This window comes from Homo sapiens, chromosome 16 (genome assembly GCF_000001405.40).
Source record: "Homo sapiens chromosome 16, GRCh38.p14 Primary Assembly".
Classification (NCBI taxonomy): domain Eukaryota; kingdom Metazoa; phylum Chordata; class Mammalia; order Primates; family Hominidae; genus Homo; species Homo sapiens.
In genome coordinates, this window is record NC_000016.10 from 81,928,030 (window position 1) to 81,946,066 (window position 18,037).

The following is an 18,037-nucleotide window of genomic DNA, read 5'->3' on the forward strand; positions in this document are numbered from 1 at the left end:
TCTCCTAAGCCCAGGATATTCTTCATCTCAGCCAGACCCTGGGATGGTTCAAGGGTGCAATGGGAGGCAGAGCTGGAAAGGGTGATGGGGGCTCTGAAAGTCTTAAAAGCCAGGTCATAGAGCATGGGTGTTGCTTCCACAGGACATGGGGAGCCACAGAAGGTTCTTGAGCCGGGCTTTAGTAGGCAAAATAGTCTCATTTTCTAATAAGGTCAGATAAATAGTCTAGGATGTGTTTGGAAACCAGATCTGAGGAAGCATTATGAAACCTGTTCTAGAATTCACAAGGCACGTTTTTACGGATTGGAAAATGAAACTCCGAACCTCCTGGCACCCTCTCCCCGCCAGGTCCCTATCAGCTCCATGCTTCATTATTTAGCTCTCTCCCCATGGACGTATCTGGTAATGAAAATGCATTTTAAACAGTTCCACAGGCAGTATCTCTGCTAAACGGTGTGCTTTGGAAACGGGTTTTCTTTTTATTATTCCCGTTACAACTAACGTGAGTTATGTCTTGTTTCTTCACAGATTATTGAAGACAATCCCTTAGGGTCTCTTTGCAGAGGAATATTGGACCTCAATACCTATAACGTCGGTACGTGCACACATCATCTTAGCCTGGATTTCCACCCCTATCCCCCATGGGCTGACCTCAGCCCCGCCCTACACAGGGAGGTGGCTGACACAGGGTCCTGTCTTGAATGCCAGCTCCTTCCCTGGCTGAAGCTGAGTATTTAGGTCAGGCTGGTCAGTGAGTATGATGCTATGTCTGCTATTAATCTCTACTAAAACTGTAAGTGCTAAAACAAGGTCTCGTACATAAGTGCTAGATGGTGGTTAGCGGATATTATTACCAGCGTCACTCTTATTATTTCAGGATCCATCTGTGTTTCCCATGCGTTGCGAAGGAAAGCTGAGCTGTCAGCCTGGCTGAAATGCAGCGTGGAGTTGGGAGTCTTGGGTTCTAAACCCAGCTCTGCCTCTCTGTCGCTGTGAGACTACAGGCCTGTCACTTCTCCTCTTTGAACCTCTGCTTCCTGGTTGCTCGGCTGGGGCCCAGGAAACCCAGCCCGCCCACGTTGACCATGCTGCAACGGGATGTGAAGGCGTGGCCCCAAGGCTAGGCTTGTCCAGTGGTGGCCAGGGTCTGATGTGTGCTGGGTTTCCTGGGTCTTGAGCCTGCCTGCTTTGAAGTGGGTGTGGTGCAGCTCCCATGTGAAGGGACTCTGTAGCGGGCCTCCTTGTTCTGGGCAGCCCATGACCCTCCCTGGGCAGGCACGGGCATGCTCCCCTAGGACTCAGGTGACAGCAGCCCCAGGAACTTCCTGCTTCTATTGCCAATGCTCTGCTTTACACATTCATTCATTTATTATTATTTCTTTTCGCGATAGAGTCTCGCTGTGTCACCCAGGCTGGAGTGCAGTGGCGTGATCTTGGCTCACTGCAACCTCTGCCTCCTGGATTCAAGTGATTCTCCTGCCTCAGCCTCCTGAGTAGCCGGGACTACAGGCATGGGCCACCGTGCCTGGCTAATTTTTGTATTTTTAGTAGAGCTAGGGTTTCGCCATGTGGGCCAGGCTGGTCTCAAACTGCTGACCTCAAGTGATCTGCCTGCCTTAGCCTCCCAAAGTGCTGGGATTACAGGCATGTGCCACCATGCCCAGCCTGCTTTCCACATTTATAACCTGCTTCTTTACCTTTACAATGATCCAGCAGGATAGGTAGGAGAGGGATTCTTTGCTCCGATTACCAGATGGGAAAATCAAGGTCCTAAGTGACCGACCACCACATGTGCTGAGGTCCTTTGGGCAGGGGGGTGCAGGATCCCTGCATCCACTTCTGGTGCTCTTTGTATCATCTTCCCCCATCCCTGTATCTGCAGAGCAGAGGCACATGGCTCATTGGTTCTGAGTAGAAATCTTGGAGTCAGGTTTGAACTGAGCCTCAGTTTTACTACTACTAGCTGTATGACTTTCCACATGTGACTTTCTCTTAATGAGCCTCAGTTTTGCCTCCTGCAAAATGGGCCTAGCAAAAGCAGGGTGCCTTTAGTCTCAGCTACTCAGGAGGCTGAGGTGGGTGGATCCCTTGAGCCCCAAGAGTTTGAGACCAGCCTGGATAATGTAGCAAGAGCTCAAAATTAAAAAAATAAAATAAAATAAAGATGCAATACATGTAATCTGCTTAGAATATTGCCTGGTATATAAGAGCTCAGAAATCTTAGCTACTAATATTATTTGGCAGATAAGTTTCCCTGTCATAATCTTTTCTTCTCTGTAAGATCCTTTCTCTGTGTCTGGAGAACCCACGCCACATTTCTCTCCTAGTTTCTGGTGACTCTTTGGTGTTTTTGGCTCATGGCTGCATTCTTCAGTCTCCACATTTGCCTGCACATGGCTTTCTCCCTTGTGTCTGCATCTGTTTTTAAAGCCATTTAGCTGGGTGTGGTGGCTCATTCCTGTAATCCCAGCACTTTGGGAGGCCAAGGTGAGTGGATCGCTTGAGCTCAGGAGTTCGAGACCAGCCCTGGGCAACATGGCGAAACCCCTCTCTACAAAAAATACAAAAATTAGCCAGGCTTTGTGGTGTGCACCTGTGGTCTCAGCTACTAGGGAGGCTGAGGTGGGAGGATCGCATGAACTTGGAAGGTGGAGGCTGCAGGGAGCCAAGATCGCACCACTGCACTTCAGCCTGGGTGACAGAGTGCCACCCTGTCTCAAAAAAAAAAAAAAAAGCCATTTAAATTATTTATTCTTTATATGTAAAAGATTATATGTAACAACATAGAAAATTATGCACAATATGCTAAGTGAAACAGTTCACAAAATTTTATGTATTGTATGTAAACATTTTGTAAAAATGCCAAGTTGCTTAGCTATATTTTAAATATTTTTAAAATGAACATGTATTGTTTTAGTAATTTGTAAAAAATATTTATGATGAGTGTAAAAAGCATTTTCTAATTGGTCAACCAAAAAGATATTCAGTGTTTCTTTTGATCAAGACGAACACATGTCTATAACTAAAGTGGACAAGAGGGTATTTTTTTCAGGTTCTCTCATGCATTTTAATGTTTGTTTTTTTTTCCTGCATCTTAAGTGTCCCTCTCCTTTCTCTTATAAGGATACTCATACTTGTTGGATGTTGGAATTGCCCTAAATCCAGGATAATCTCATATTGAGATCCTTAACCTAAGTACATCTGCAACGACCCTATAAGGTCCCATTCACAGGTACTGGTGACCTGACACATCTTTTCGGAGGACCCTACTGAATCTACTGCATCCCTTGAGTAGTCATCTGTGATGTGTACTTACCCCGATGGAAAGTAGACGTCCCCATCAGTGCTAACCGTGGTCATAGCAGTGGTGGTTGGTCCATGAGAGAAACAGCTCAGGCAGGGTGCAGTCTGGTCTTTGTGGCCCTCTAATAGGCTGATTGGGACATTTCTTATTCTCTTACCCCAAGTGAAAGCCCCTCAGGGAAAAAACCAGAAGTCCTTTGTCTTCATCCTGGAGCCCAAGCAGCAGGGCGATCCTCCGGTGGAGTTTGCCACAGACAGGGTGGAGGAGCTCTTTGAGTGGTTTCAGAGCATCCGAGAGATCACCTGGAAGATTGACACCAAGGTAGGCACCTGCTCACCCGGGTGCAGGTGGGCCTGGCATTCTGAGGGCTTTGGTGCTCAGTTGGGACTGTGGGTGGGTCCAGGCAGCAGGATGAGCAGGCCCAGGTCCTACTCAGAATTCAGGAAGGAGACCAGGTGGATTCAGACAATTGGAGCACCTCTTGTTAGAGAGAGGCAGGGATAGTGGAGGTGCCCTGGGAAGGTGGGTCTGGTTGTCTGGTTCGAACCTTCAGAAGGCTGAGTGCCTGCAGCAATGCTCATTGATGATGTCTTTGCGGCCCTACATATCTTACCAAGGAAGTTACTGCCTTCCTCATTTTGAATATTTTCTTTCTAAGTATCATATAAAGCAGTCTGGATCCTCCTGACAGAAAACGTTCACTGAGCTCACCTGCCTGGAGCTGGAATGGGCTCTGGGAACATAGCAAATCAGCGAGACCCGGTTCTTTCCGGTGGAGGAACTTCCCCTCTAGATGGGAGTGACCTTTTCAGGGCTGTCCTACCTGAAGTACTAGTCTCTGGCTGGAAGTGTTTTGGGAAGGTGTGAGCTTCTGGATAAGAATAGGAGGTCTGGAATTGGGCAGACTGGAGTTTGCATCCTGGCAGGGCTGGACCCTGGGCAAGTAACCACACTTCTCTGGGCCTCAGTTTCCTTGTCTGCAAAATGAGGAGCCAAATTCCTAACTCACAAGTACTTAATCACTGCCTTATCATTATATCAGAGCGACATGGGAAAGTGCCACCCTGTCTTCGATGATGGAGTAAGGGCTGTCTGTTCTTGTGGCTGCCGAACTGGAAAGAAATTGTAGGGTTTCCCATGCACCCATTTGTTTCTAAGGTAGAACTTGACCCAAAGGGCTGATTAAAGCCTTCCTGGGGCCTCTTGTGCCCTCTGACTTCTGGCTAGAGTCAGTGAGTCTCTCCTCCAAGATAGTCACCCACCAGTGGCCAGGTCATTTTTTTCCCCTTGGGAGGGCCTCACATCTTGGCCAGTCCCTGGTCACGAGAGGATCCTTGACTCACTCAACTCTTCTGCAGGGAAGTGTCCTCTTTAGGAGACTTTGCAGAGGGGACTGGTCCATGGGTGCCCTCGCTGGTGGGGCATCGTCTTTCTCTGACCCAGGAACTCCTGGGGGCCTTCCCTAGGGCTCCTAATTCTTCCCATGGCTTTTCACACCACCAGCCATGGGGGAGGAACCATGAGCTTGTAGCCAGCTGCGCTGTCCTTCTGGCTTTCCCAGTGAAACCATCTCTTCTGCCCTCCAGTGTCTCTGATGCCACAGTACAGCTCTGAGGCACAGGGAGGTGCCACGACCCTGAGGTTTATTTAAAAAATCTCCAAATAGTGCACTCCAGCTCTCTCTACTTTGCTTAATGTGGAAAAGTGTTATTTCCCTAGAAGGCTCTGTCTCTCCCCTGCCTCACACCTCCTCTCCTGCCGCGTGAAGGTTCCTGAAATGAAGCTGAGCTGTTCAAGGTTGCTGTTGGCGGCCTTTGGTCTGCATTCCTCTCTAACTGGTTTTTATATTTACTGAGATTTCATGAGAATGATTTTTAAAGTCCTGTTATTACATCTGAGGGGTAAAAAAACTGGGACAGTAGAGTTGACGGAGTTCCCACACTGGGCACAGCTACCCCTTTTGCGGAGCTGGTGTTGGGGAGCAAAGGAAGAAGGCCCCATCCCACTCTTGGGAAACCAGCGGCGGATAAACTCTTTGTCACTGCCAGGACCTCTGCCTGTCCCTAAGTGCCCGCATTGTTACACGGTCTGTAGCCACCTCATTGATGGCAGAGGGCAGTCACAAAATCCTTCTAGTTAGTGGGTTTCCAGAGCCTCACCAACTGTATTGTGACTTCCCATTCTGAGATGGCTTGAGGGGTGACAGCTGCAGGCCTGGAGAGTAATTGTCATGCTGTTTTTTGTTTTTTTTTTTTGAGACAGAGTCTCACTCTGTTGCCCAGGCTACTCAACTTCTTTGTTAAATGGAGATAATTCTCCCTGTCAGGGTGTGGATTGACTTAGGTAATATCCCTCAAGTGCTTAGCCTGTGACGGCTAGAGCTAAGCACCCCCCAAACAGTCACCATTATTATCTAAATATTCTCTCAAGGTCCCCCCTTGGCCAATAAAAGTCTGATAGAATTTGGGGAGGCCCAACAGGGTTGCCTGCTTTGGGGTGAAGTGAGAAGCTCATCCTTACATGCAAGGAGTTAGATTTGATGGTGGGTCTTCTGAAGGGAGGTACCTCCTGAGTCCATGGCACATGGCCTGGGCACTGGGTAGTGGTCCCCTTGGACAGAGCCCTGATGGGCAGTCAGAGCTGGGGAGCAGGTGTGCAGGTTTTGAGGGTGCAGGGGATAGAGAGTTATGACGAGGATGCTGGGGTCCACAGAGCCCCCGAGGATTTGAAGAACTAGAATTTGAGACACTCTAACAGTGTGGCTTTAGGGGAGGGGACAGGAGGCAGAGTTAAAGACAGAGGGGTGGTGACAGAGAAGAGCCCCCTTCCATCCTGACCTCACCTATATTTGAGGGCTGTGGCCAGGACTGAGCTGCACACCAAAACCTCGTGGAAACAGCTTTGTCGAGAATTTTCACAGTGAGAGGAAGAAACGAGAGGGGCAGGGTTGTCTTCAGGAAAGGAAAACATTCAACCATATTAAAGATCCGAGTGTGCAAGAAAGCAAAGTGGGGATGGAGGAGGAAAAATGCAGGGCGAGCTGGGAAGATGGGATTTCTCGGGGGCGGGCACTAAAGACAGTGAACTCCAAACAGGAGAACAACATGAAGTACTGGGAGAAGAACCAGTCCATCGCCATCGAGCTCTCTGACCTGGTTGTCTACTGCAAACCAACCAGCAAAACCAAGGACAACTTAGGTAACATCTTTCCCAAGAACATGCCCTATAACTCCAATGAAAACTTAACTTCCTTTAGAGTCTGATATTTTCAGAGGGGGCAGAGAGTGCATTCTCTCATTCTTAACTACTCCCAGTAGATGGCCCCACCTTGGGTTTGTCCTCCGAGTGAGGGAGCTGGTGGCAGAAGCTTTTTTGGTGTATTAGTCCATTTTCATGCTGCTGATAAAGACATACCCAAGACTGAGTAATTTATAAGGAAAAAGAGGTTTAATGGACTCACAGTTCCACGTGGAGGAGGCCTCACAATTATGGCAGCAGAGGAGAGAGAATGAGAAGCAAGTGAAAGGGGAAACCCTTATAAAACCATCAGATCTCGCGAGACTTATTCAGTACCACAACAACGGTACAGGGGAAACCACCCCCATGATTCAATTATCTCCTATCGGGTCCCTCCCATAACACGTGGGAATTATGGGAGCTACAATTCAAGGTGAGATTTGGGTGGGGACACAGCCAAACCATATCACCCACTTAGTGGGTGGATTTAGTTCTTACTGCCATTACCACAAACTTGGTGGCTGAAAACAACATTTATTCTTGCACAGTCCTGGAGGCCAGAGTCTGAAATCAGTATCATGAGGTCAACATCAGGGTGCCAGCAGGGCTGTGCTCCCTCCGGAGGGGAAAGCCATTCCCTTCTTCCAGTTTCTGGGGGCTGCTGGCATTCCTTGGCCTTCTCCTCTTCTGCTTCCCTATTATAAGGACCCTTGTGATGCATTAGGTCCACCTGGATATTCCAGAATAAGCCTCCCATTTCAAGCTCCTTAATCACACCTGCAAAGTCTGTTCTGCCATATAAAGTGACATGCACAGGCTCCAGATATTAGGGCCTGGACATCTTTGGGGGCCATTTAAAAAAAAAAAGACCTTCTACCACATTCTCCAGGTAGCAAGCTTTTTGATGATGCTGTACGTATTTTTTTCTTTGGGTGTTTTGAGCTGCTTCCATATCTTTCATCTTAGAACAGAAGACCAGCCAGACAATACTAGACCCCTCAGTTAACTTACCGGGAGGCCAGTCCCTAGGAACTTCTACCTTCAGGGACTCAGCAGGCTCAGCATGTTGACTGCCGGGCTATCCCACCACAGCTGGATGGGAGAGAAGATGAGGCCTGTCCCCTTCCCTCTCCTCCTGTTCTCCCTTCCCTGCACAGGCACCCACATTGCAACCCTACCTGTGGGCTTTGGCAGGTGATTCTCAGTTTGTTCATCTTGTGTCTGTGGTCTCTCTGGATCTTCCCCTCCCAAGATCTTCTCCTACCCAAAACCATTCCCATTCTCCCTCTTCTATAACTGTACCACTTTTGTGTTTTCTTGTTCAAGGATGGTGATAGTTTAAAAAAAAAAGTAAATTACAGTAATTCTAGCCTAAAAGGTGGTGGGAAAACTAGGCCCCTTTTTAATACTTGGAACCCCCAGAGGGCAAGAGTCCACAGTGATACCAATTGGGACAATATCATCAGAACCCCTTGAATGTCAAAGAGGGAGATTCCTGGTTTCCTTTTATAATCTGAGCATCCAGCCATTGCAGCAAACATTAAGAAAATGCACAGATGAGACACAGAAGTACTGATGACCTTTTTCTCTGTGTGCAGAAAATCCTGACTTCCGAGAAATCCGCTCCTTTGTGGAGACGAAGGCTGACAGCATCATCAGACAGAAGCCCGTCGACCTCCTGAAGTACAATCAAAAGGGCCTGACCCGCGTCTACCCAAAGGGACAAAGAGTTGACTCTTCAAACTACGACCCCTTCCGCCTCTGGCTGTGCGGTTCTCAGATGGTGGCACTCAATTTCCAGACGGCAGGTAAAGGCCGACTGAAGGTAGTCCCGTCCCTGCAAGGTGGCGGTTGCAGTCACTCCAGGCCGAGTCACCTTGGGTCAGCGATACCATGTGGTGTCCAAGAATGAGTGATTTGTCCGAGGGACTGCACGGTTCAGCAGAGTAATGGTTAGTATGAGGTCCAGCAGCTGAATGGAGGGATGAGAGGACCGAAGGCTGCTTGGCTTACGCAGGCTTCGTGATTGTAAGTAAGTGACAGAGGCTGAGTTAGTCTGGCTTAGAAAAAGAAAATGCATTAGTTCATGTAATTAAAGCATCTTTGGAGTTCTCTTCTCCAGGCCTGTTGCTGTGTGAGGGCTTTCTGCTCAGACTTTCTTCCAGAGACATTTACATGCTGGCATAACTAACATACACAAACTTCTGGACACAAAGTGATCGCATAAATCACGGGGCTTTGTGCTTTTGTTGTTGTTATTTAAGACCTCTTTCGAGGGATCTATTCATCAGTAGCCTCCTTTACATTCTTTTTATAGCCACATCGGATTCCACAGAATGGAACAATCATTTATTTAATAAGTCCCCGTGGAGGCACATGTAGGTATTCCCCATTATTTGCTGTCATAGACAGCACTGCCTTCTGTACCCTGACGTGAGCGCCATTCCACAGATGTAGGAATATGTCTATGGGACAGAATTCTCAGAAAGGCAGGGTGGGTCAAACAGCGCTTGCATTTTGATCAACTTTGCCCTGAGGAAAACCACTGAAGACGTGCCTGAGCTAAGCCACACTGCCAAACTGCCCTCCATAGAGATCGTGGGCGGGGATGCAAATAGGTGGAGGTTGGAGTACGCTCTTTTGGTATGACTTCGCTGAGTTTTGTTGAACTTTTTGCCGTTTGCACAACTGAGAGGTGAAAACTGATACATCGTCGTCCATTAGAGCTTCTTCTTGTAAGGGACATTAACCAGTTTTTCCCTCATTTAGGGAGCAGTGGCATTTTCTTTTCTGGGAACTATTTGTGCTTCTTACCTGATGTATCTACTGCAGTAGGTATTTATAGCATAGATGTATCAGAACTAAGAGGTTAAAAATTTATATTCACATATTTGTCATTTGAATTAAAATTGCCTATGCAATTTATTGCTACATAGACACTTTTAGCAAGTTTGAATCTTTTCTTTTATGATTCGGGATTTGGTGACATACTTGGAAAGGTGTTCCCCAGTCTGGGAGTTTGCTGTCTAGAAACCCTATATTTTCTTTGAGTGAGATACCTATTTGAACAGCTGCCTCACATTAATTTGGGGAAAAGGTGAAATTCATTCCCCACCTAGAAACTCCTGGCCTAGGGGGCCAGCGTGCTCATGCCTGACTTACAGCAGGCGTTCACTTTCCTTCCCAGATAAGTACATGCAGATGAATCACGCATTGTTTTCTCTCAATGGGCGCACGGGCTACGTTCTGCAGCCTGAGAGCATGAGGACAGAGAAATATGACCCGATGCCACCCGAGTCCCAGAGGAAGATCCTGATGACGCTGACAGTCAAGGTAAAGCCAGCCCTCCCTTCCTGCCAGGGGAGCCAGCCGCCCTCCCTGGGGGCTGGGCCGATGCTGTCTTGAGAGCAGGGAACCCATGTCTAGGGAGGCTGGTTGTCTTGTTTAAACGATCCCCATTCAGGCAGTGTTTGAGGATCTTTCTTTCTTACAGTACACTCCGGGGTCGTTCTGGGAGAAGAGGGAAGAGAGGGGAAACCTCCTCAAACCCACTTCCCCTTGTCCTCTGTGGGGGTGAGGTATGACCCTATCTTTCTGGGGTCCTGGTGAGGTCAGCCTCTGGCCGGAAAGAGAAAGAAAACATGGGAAACAGCCATTTGGTCTTAATGGAGAAGTTTTTTCCCTTACTTTGTCCAATTCCAGGGCTTTTTAAAATTCATCTGACTTTCAGAGAAAGTGTTGTTGCTTTGTAAGAATTTTTGAAAAGTAGAGAAATGAATTGCATTTCTCCTAAGGTTAAGGGCGGGCGGGTGGTAGGGGGAAGAAGCATACGTAAACACAGGCCTTTAAATAAACAGCAGTTATAAAAAGAATGCCACACTGTTCCTCAGCCTTTCCTAGGGGTGTGGAAATCCAGTGATTAAGCTCTGCCTTGATCAGAGGCACCTGCTTGGGCATGGATGTGTGCATTCATGAGCTCAGGTGAGTTTTACCTGTTGAGTCAGGTGGCATATGGGGCCGAGACCCAGGCTGATGCTGAGGAACTGTGGGATCTACCACAGTCCACCTTCATCCACTGCAGAAGGTTGCTCCGGCTTTTCCAGTGAATCTAGGAAAATTAGGGCTGGCATTGAACTCATCCAGTGTCACTCTAGAACCCAGCTGCAATCCACGCTAGGCTGCCTGTTCAGGACCCCAGGGGGGTTCCAATGCTTCCCTTTGGTGTCCCAGGTTCTCGGTGCTCGCCATCTCCCCAAACTTGGACGAAGTATTGCCTGTCCCTTTGTAGAAGTGGAGATCTGTGGAGCCGAGTATGACAACAACAAGTTCAAGACGACGGTTGTGAGTAAGTCAGTCACCTTGGCCCCTCTGCTTTTAAACGTCCGGCCAGTGAATCCTTTGTGGGAGTGCTCTTCGTGGGGGATTTTGCAATGCTCTTTAGTTGTCCCAGGGTTTTCTTTCCTCCCTCTTGCCCACATGGTTCAGCTTGAGGAGGGGATACATACAAAGGGCCACTTTCTGAAATCCTTAGACTTTCCCCAGTGCTGTTTGCCTGCCTGTAACTCAAGTCCGGAATCGTAGGTGAGGCCCTGACACTAGGTTGGTCCTCTCTGTGCAACAGCCCAATCTGATTAATCTCCTGAGTCAAAGGCCAAGAGGCAGAGACACAGAGAGAGGGGGTGAACCTACGTGGCTGACCTGACCCAGAGGATCAGCCTAACCTGGGAGATCTTAGCCCCTAGAGGGCAGGAGGGACAAGAGGAATGCTTGCTCTTCCAGGAAAAGCCAGGAGGGAACCGTGATTGGTGGGCCTTCTAAAGCACAGGATCCTTGCCCCTGGTAAAAAGTAGCCCAATGAACAACTCAGATGCTGACCAAATAAACTGGCATTTATGGAGAGTGGCAGGATTGCTGCTTGCCTGCTCTGTGAGGCTGGGCTCTCCCCTGCCAGCTGTAGAACCCCCTGCTGGTGGATGTGGCTCCCAGGCTCTCCTCCCCTTTTGTCTTTTCCAAAATCCACCTTCCTGCTCTGCAAACAAACACCTCCCCCGTTCCCTTGTCCCTGATCCTGGGGCGGGGAGATGGGAGGTGGTCTCCTTCCTCTGCTCACCAAGGGACCAGCCTGCAACAGCAGCTTCCAGGATTGCTCAAGGTGGGGTGGGGGAGTGAAGATAATTATTCAGATTTTCTTAGATCTTGGCATAGATGCATATTTATTTACATGGTTGCTAAGGGGATTCACAGCTGAAGGATGCGGAGATTGTCTTACCAGAAGGGGGCAGCTCCAATGTGGCCTCTCATGAGCTTTGATCTCCTTCCAGATGATAATGGCCTCAGCCCTATCTGGGCTCCAACACAGGAGAAGGTGACATTTGAAATTTATGACCCAAACCTGGCATTTCTGCGCTTTGTGGTTTATGAAGAAGATATGTTCAGCGATCCCAACTTTCTTGCTCATGCCACTTACCCCATTAAAGCAGTCAAATCAGGTAAGAGGCATTTTAATTAAGATGTTCGATTTGGGCTGGCGTTGTACTTTGGTTTGGCTGCTGGCTTCAAAAAGAATGAAAAATGATTTTTCCTGGTTTGGATGGAATCACTGTAAAACCGATTGGGTGGCTTGGAGAGCAGGTGTACAGCCTGTCGTGTAGCACACAGGTGGGAGGAAGTGGGTGACAGGGGAGGCTATGCCCCTCAAAGTGGGATGTTTACAAGCAAAACTGGATTGTTAGTGGATCCTCAACCTGGCACTGCAGTTTGATTTCATTTTGAAATATTACATGCGGTTTGCTTCTCCCTAGCTAGGGCTAAGTCTGGTTTGATCTCCCCCTCCTGCTCTCTGGCTGGCAGTGTGAGAGGGTGGCAAGGGAGAGACCTTTGGCATCTTGGGGGGGGAGTAACAATCTCGAGGGTCCAACTCCCCAAACCCTTCAGAATTCACCTTCTTCTTCTATAAAATTGGGTGGGTTAATTTACTTCTTTGAGTTGTTACAGTTTTCTTCCCTGCTGAAGAAAACACAAGATCCCTTCATGGTATAAGAAGGGTCATTTTGTATTTTTCTGCAACCAAGCCAAGCTGGGTCATACGACCAGCTCTTAAGAACCCTGCTGAATCCCAGATGACTGAGCCCTTCCTACACAGCTGAGATAGACACTTCCAGGTGAGGGGATTTGGGACCCTGCTGCTTCTAGAGCCAGTCATTTACAAAAACAAAAAAAACTGGCTCTCCTTAGCTTCTATATAGTTTCTCTAGTTTACTTTCCCACTGGATCTTTCCCACTGGATTTTAGGTATAATATTTGACAAATAGGCCCTTGCTGGATGTTGAATTTTCCTTCTTCCTCTTCCTTTAGTATTTCTGATGCATGGTGCATGAGATATGAGATCATAGATTCTTCTGGATTCCTCAAGAGGTCACTGTTCCCTTGTTTTCTGAGGATCATTTTTCAAGAGAAAGATGACTGTCATTTTAGTTACTTACATAAAAAAATACAGTCTTTTGATATTGTTTGGAAACGTGGGGCTCAATGAAGAGCTGAATTGGATCTTTTTTGTTTTCAGACATTCCCTCAACTTCCACCTTTTTTTGTATAATATCATAAACCTGACCATTTCTGCTACTGGGCAGGAGCCCAGTTTCTGAGCAGCAGGCATGCTAGAAAATCCAGGTGCTGGCCGGGCACGGTGGCTCACTCCTGTAATCATAATCCCAGCTACTTGGAAGGCTGAGGTTGCACCACTGCACTCCAGCCTGGGTGACAGAGCAAGACTCAGAAGAAAGTGCAGGTTCCTGGACCCACCACAGGGTGATGAGTCAGCCCAGGGTGGGGCCAAGGAATCTGCATCTTTAGGCAGCTCCCCAGATGGTGCTTGGATGGCACTTTGACAGAACCAAACTATGTCAAGGCTGCCTATCTTACCATTGAGGAAATGAATTCCTTAGCAAGTTACTAGATGAAACAAGACTTTGGGAAAATGTTTAAAGTTTCTGATTTTTTTTTTTTTTTGTACTCTAGAAATGTTCATTTTCATGAACATTGCTACTCTAGCAATAATAATGAGTATTCATTTGTAAGAGGCCTGATATTTGGCAACCCTTCTGGGTTAACTCACCCACACTGTAAACTCCCCCTTTTTTTTTTTTGAGATGGAGTCTTGCTCTGTCGCTCAGGCTGGAGTGCAGTGGGTGATCTCGGCTCACTGTAACCTCTGCCTCAGCCTCCTCAGTAGCTGGGACTACAGGTGTACACTACCACATCTGGCTAATTTTTGTATTTTTAGTAGAGACGGGGTTTTGCCATGTTGGTCTGAAAAAAAGTGATGGGATTAAAGGAGTGAACCACTGTGCCTGGCCTATAAACTACTTTAAACCCGGCACTGATCAGGGCTGTGATTCCTTAATTTGCTTCTTTTAGATTAGTCTAATAAGGCTTAGGAATGACACCAATTCTTCTGGTGCAGGAAGTGTAGCTTTTGGTACACCTTTACGTTCCTAGCCTTGACGCTGTAACAGATTTCTTTTTATGGTAACTGCCTGCCAGTTCCTCTACTGAACTCATCCAGCAGAGAGGGGCAGCTGTGCTGAAACCCCTTGGTTACCCCGACGTCCTCTTGAAGGATGAGGGCCTTGAGCCTCATAACCCCTCCCAGTGCCTTGCAGAGATGTCAGAGTTGATGATAAAACCTCGTTACCTTAATGGGCATCAAAGTGTGTCAATTCATCTGCAGAATGCAATGACTTAGCTTGGAGATTTGGAAAAAACAAAGGTCAAAACCTCAAGGGAGATTAAAAATGTGACCTTCTCCTCCCCCGACTGTGAGATACTCTCAGCAGGGACCTTTCCTCACTTCTTTCTAGCTCCTAGCAGTGCCTGGCACATCCATATTCATGGGAGGAATGAAATAGAATGAACAGGAGGCATTGAGGGTCTTCCATACTGAAAAAATAAACTTCACCCATTGTCATTAGAGATGCACTGAAGCTTTTAAACCAGTTGGAGCGCAGGAAGGAAAGCAGCAGCCTTTATTGTGTTAGGTACCTTAAACTCTTTCTCTTTTAATCCTCACAGTAATCCTGTGAAAGGGGTTTTATCTTTGGTTTTAAAATTCTGAGCACTTTGAGGCCGAGAGACTATGACTTAACTTGCTCAAGGTCACACACCTGTAGGACCAGAGCTGAGATTCAAACCCAGGAATGTCTAATTAATTTCGAACCCCGTGTTCCTCCTCTGCAGGCTGCCCTCTCACTGGGTGCTCAAAGCCAGATGCATTGATCTTACTTTAAAAGGTGTCTGTATTTCCCTTTCCCCAGTGAAATGACTAGAAACAAGAAGAAGAAAAACAATTATTTTTTTTTTTTTTATACAAGGAGGGCTGCCCAGTGCATAAAAATGGGACTTGGGCAGCGAGAGAAGGTACATAGAGCTGGAGACAGCTGGTCATGAGGGCAGAGCTCATGTCTCCGATTTAAGAGGCACACGCCTAGTGTCAGATAGTACTGTCCAGCCTGGAACCATGCTATTGGAGTGTAGGGGCTACCTGATAGCCTCCCGGAATGCCATGGAGCAAACAGTCATTCCAGTTCATTCTAACAGTCAATCAGCAGCTAGACTGTATTAGTCCGTTCTCACACTGCTATAAAGACATACCTGAGACTGGGTAATTTATAAAGAAAAGAGGTTTGATTGGCTCACAGTTCTGCAGGCTGTACAGGCTTTTGTTTCTGGGGAGGCCTCAGGAAATTTACAATCCTGGTAGAAGGGGAACAAGCACATATTTACATGGCCAGCAGGAGGAAAAGAGAGCTAGTGAAGGGGGAGGTACTACACACTTTTATTAAACAACCCCATCTCGTGAGAACTCACTATCATGAGAACAGCAAGTGGGAAGTCCACCCCCATTATCCAGTCACCTCCCACCCGGCCCCAGCTCCAACAGTGGAGATCACAATTCAACATGAGATTTGGGTGGGGACACAGAGCCAAACCATAACATAGATTTCTTCACCAATGTCCACAGATTAGCTCATTAGAGATGCAGAATCTCAGGCCTCACCCCAGACTTCCCAAGTCAGAATCTGCATTTTAACAAGATTCACAGGTGATTCACATTTGCATTAATGTTGGCATATCACTGGGCTAGTCTGCAAGAATTCTGAGTCTCTATCAAGGCAAAAAACAAACTAGCAACAAAAATCACATTGTAGCGATAGGGAAAAATAGGTCAGAAAACTTCTTTACAGCAGTATATTCAATGAGAGCAATGTCCCCATAAACCCTACCAGGAAATGAGTGGGTATAAAACATTCAGGTTTTATACCCCCTCAAACTGTCACTCAAGTATAAAATCAAAGGATGGATGCTCTCAAACATGCACAGCTCAGGAATTCTGTGTCCCATGGGCTCATTTTGAAGAGAACAAAAGAGGACAAATTTAGCCAATGAAGGCATCCACGGAATTCAGTAAGATGATGAGCATCCAGCCATTAAAAAATATAAATTTGTACATTTCCTTATGTATAAAATTGTGTATCAGAAGAGGAACACTGTAAAGTAATACTGAGCTCTGGGTGGTGAGATGCATGCTGGGGAAAGTATATTGATGTCTTTGTCATACTTTGAATTGTATACATAAATAAGATGGATTGATGGGTAGATAAATCCATGACAAAACAAGTACAGTCAGCCCTCTGGATCTGTGGACTCAACCAACCAAGCTTGGGTTGAAAATATTTTTGAAAACATTATGTATCGAACATATGCAGACTTTTTTCTTATTCCTTAATACAGTATAACGATTATTTACACAGTATTTATATTGTCTTGGGTATTAAAGTAATCTAATTTAAAGGATATGGGAGGATGTGCATAGGTTATATGCAAATACTACGCCACTGAATTAATTATTTAGAGACAAGGTCTTCCCTCTGTCACTGAGGCTGAAATTCAGTGTTGTGTGATCATAGCTCATGGCAGCCTCAGACTCCTGGGCTCAAGCAATCCTCCTGCCTCAGTCTTCCTAGTAGCTGGGACTACAGGTGTGCATCACTGTGCCCAGCTAAATTTTTTATTTTATTTTATTTCTTGTAGAGATGGGGGTCTTGCTATGTTGCCTAGGCTAGTCTTGAATTCCTGGCTTCAAGTGATCCTCCTGCCTTGCCCTCCCCAAGTGCTAGGATTACAGGCATGAGCCACCGTACTTGGCCAACTATGTCATTTTATATCAGGGACTTGAGCCTCCAAGGATTTTGGTATCTGGGGAGGTCCTGAACGAGTCCCCCATAGATATCAAGGGCCAACTGTAGAGTAAAAGTTTCGTACAATCTAGGTGGTGGGTATACAAGTAATCCTTGTAATTTTTTTTAGTGTTGCTGTATGTTTAAGAATTTTATATTAAAATGCCAGAAAAACATAAGCCTCCCTTTGTGGGAGAATTATGGTTACAAAATGGAATGCAAATATTATATACCATGTCCATACAGAAATGACAATACACCTTAGGGGTGTAAAAGGAGAAATTGGGGAGAGAAAAGGAACAGGTTTGTGTAAGAATGTGACCTTCCTCTTCATAAGCAGCGGAAAGTGAGAGATTCAGTGGATATTGTTTGAAGGTGATAAAGCAACTGAGAGTATAAAATGTTCCAAGAGAAATAAGCCCAAAATCTGAATGGTGGAAGGCACAGAGGAAACAGTGGGAGTGTCCTATTTTGGGCATTACTTGGAGAATCAGTAGATATGATATAAATGCTTTCAAGACAAACTAGGACCACAGAAACCATCTCTGAGATACAATGCTAACTGGGTAAGGCACTATCATTTGTGATTAAAAGCAACTCAAACATATGCATAGGCAATCTTGGGAAAGATACTGTTAACCATGGTTCCTTTTAGGACAGAGAGGAGGATTGGGTGGGAGTGACCGTTCTGTTTCAGCCCTGTGTTCTTTTATACTAAAACAAGCCAGCAAACCAACCTTTGAGATGTGTTGCCTTAAACATTACTGAATGGGGGTGGGGGAGATTCGGCTCCAACTTGCCCCCCTCAGCCCCAAATAAAAAGAAACATTTAAATGACTGTGAAAGACAGGTCCTAATTGTAAAGAGGGAATGGCTTTAGGAGGAGGAAGATCAATACTGCTATGAACTACTAAGGGACAGAAAGATTTCCTCCCATTGGAAATCTTTAAAGATAAAACACACTCCCTGGTCCTGTGCTTTGTAAGGCTGTAAGTGGAGGAAATGGATGAGGATTCACTACTCTTTTGGTCTCAGGAGTATTTAAGGAATTGAACCACAGCTGCAATCACTACACTCAATGTGGAATGTTCTGTGGGTTTTAATTTCTTCTGAGTGAATCATTTTTATTTCTAGATGGTAGATATTTTTAACCTTGCTTCCCTGTATGGACCAGTCAGTCATGGCTGCCGGCCTCTGTCCCTAACCATCAGGATAGGACCTCTGGCTTCCACAAAGTCAGCCCCCAGCATGGGGCACTGAC

General features: G+C 46.5%; 1 protein-coding gene across 4 annotated transcripts in view; it reads left to right on the forward strand.

Annotated features, from left to right (window-relative positions):
* PLCG2 (phospholipase C gamma 2) overlaps nt 1-18,037 on the forward strand; it is a 223,645-nt gene that overhangs the window by 188,989 nt on the left and 16,619 nt on the right. For all 4 annotated transcript variants that reach the window (NM_001425751.1, NM_001425749.1, NM_001425750.1 and 1 more), the window contains 7 exons: nt 529-595; nt 3,468-3,625; nt 6,400-6,502; nt 8,140-8,349; nt 9,729-9,874; nt 10,772-10,886; nt 11,863-12,030. In NM_001425751.1, the coding sequence (NP_001412680.1) occupies nt 529-595; nt 3,468-3,625; nt 6,400-6,502; nt 8,140-8,349; nt 9,729-9,874; nt 10,772-10,886; nt 11,863-12,030 (967 nt within the window). The remainder of the gene's footprint in view (nt 1-528; nt 596-3,467; nt 3,626-6,399; nt 6,503-8,139; nt 8,350-9,728; nt 9,875-10,771; nt 10,887-11,862; nt 12,031-18,037) is intronic.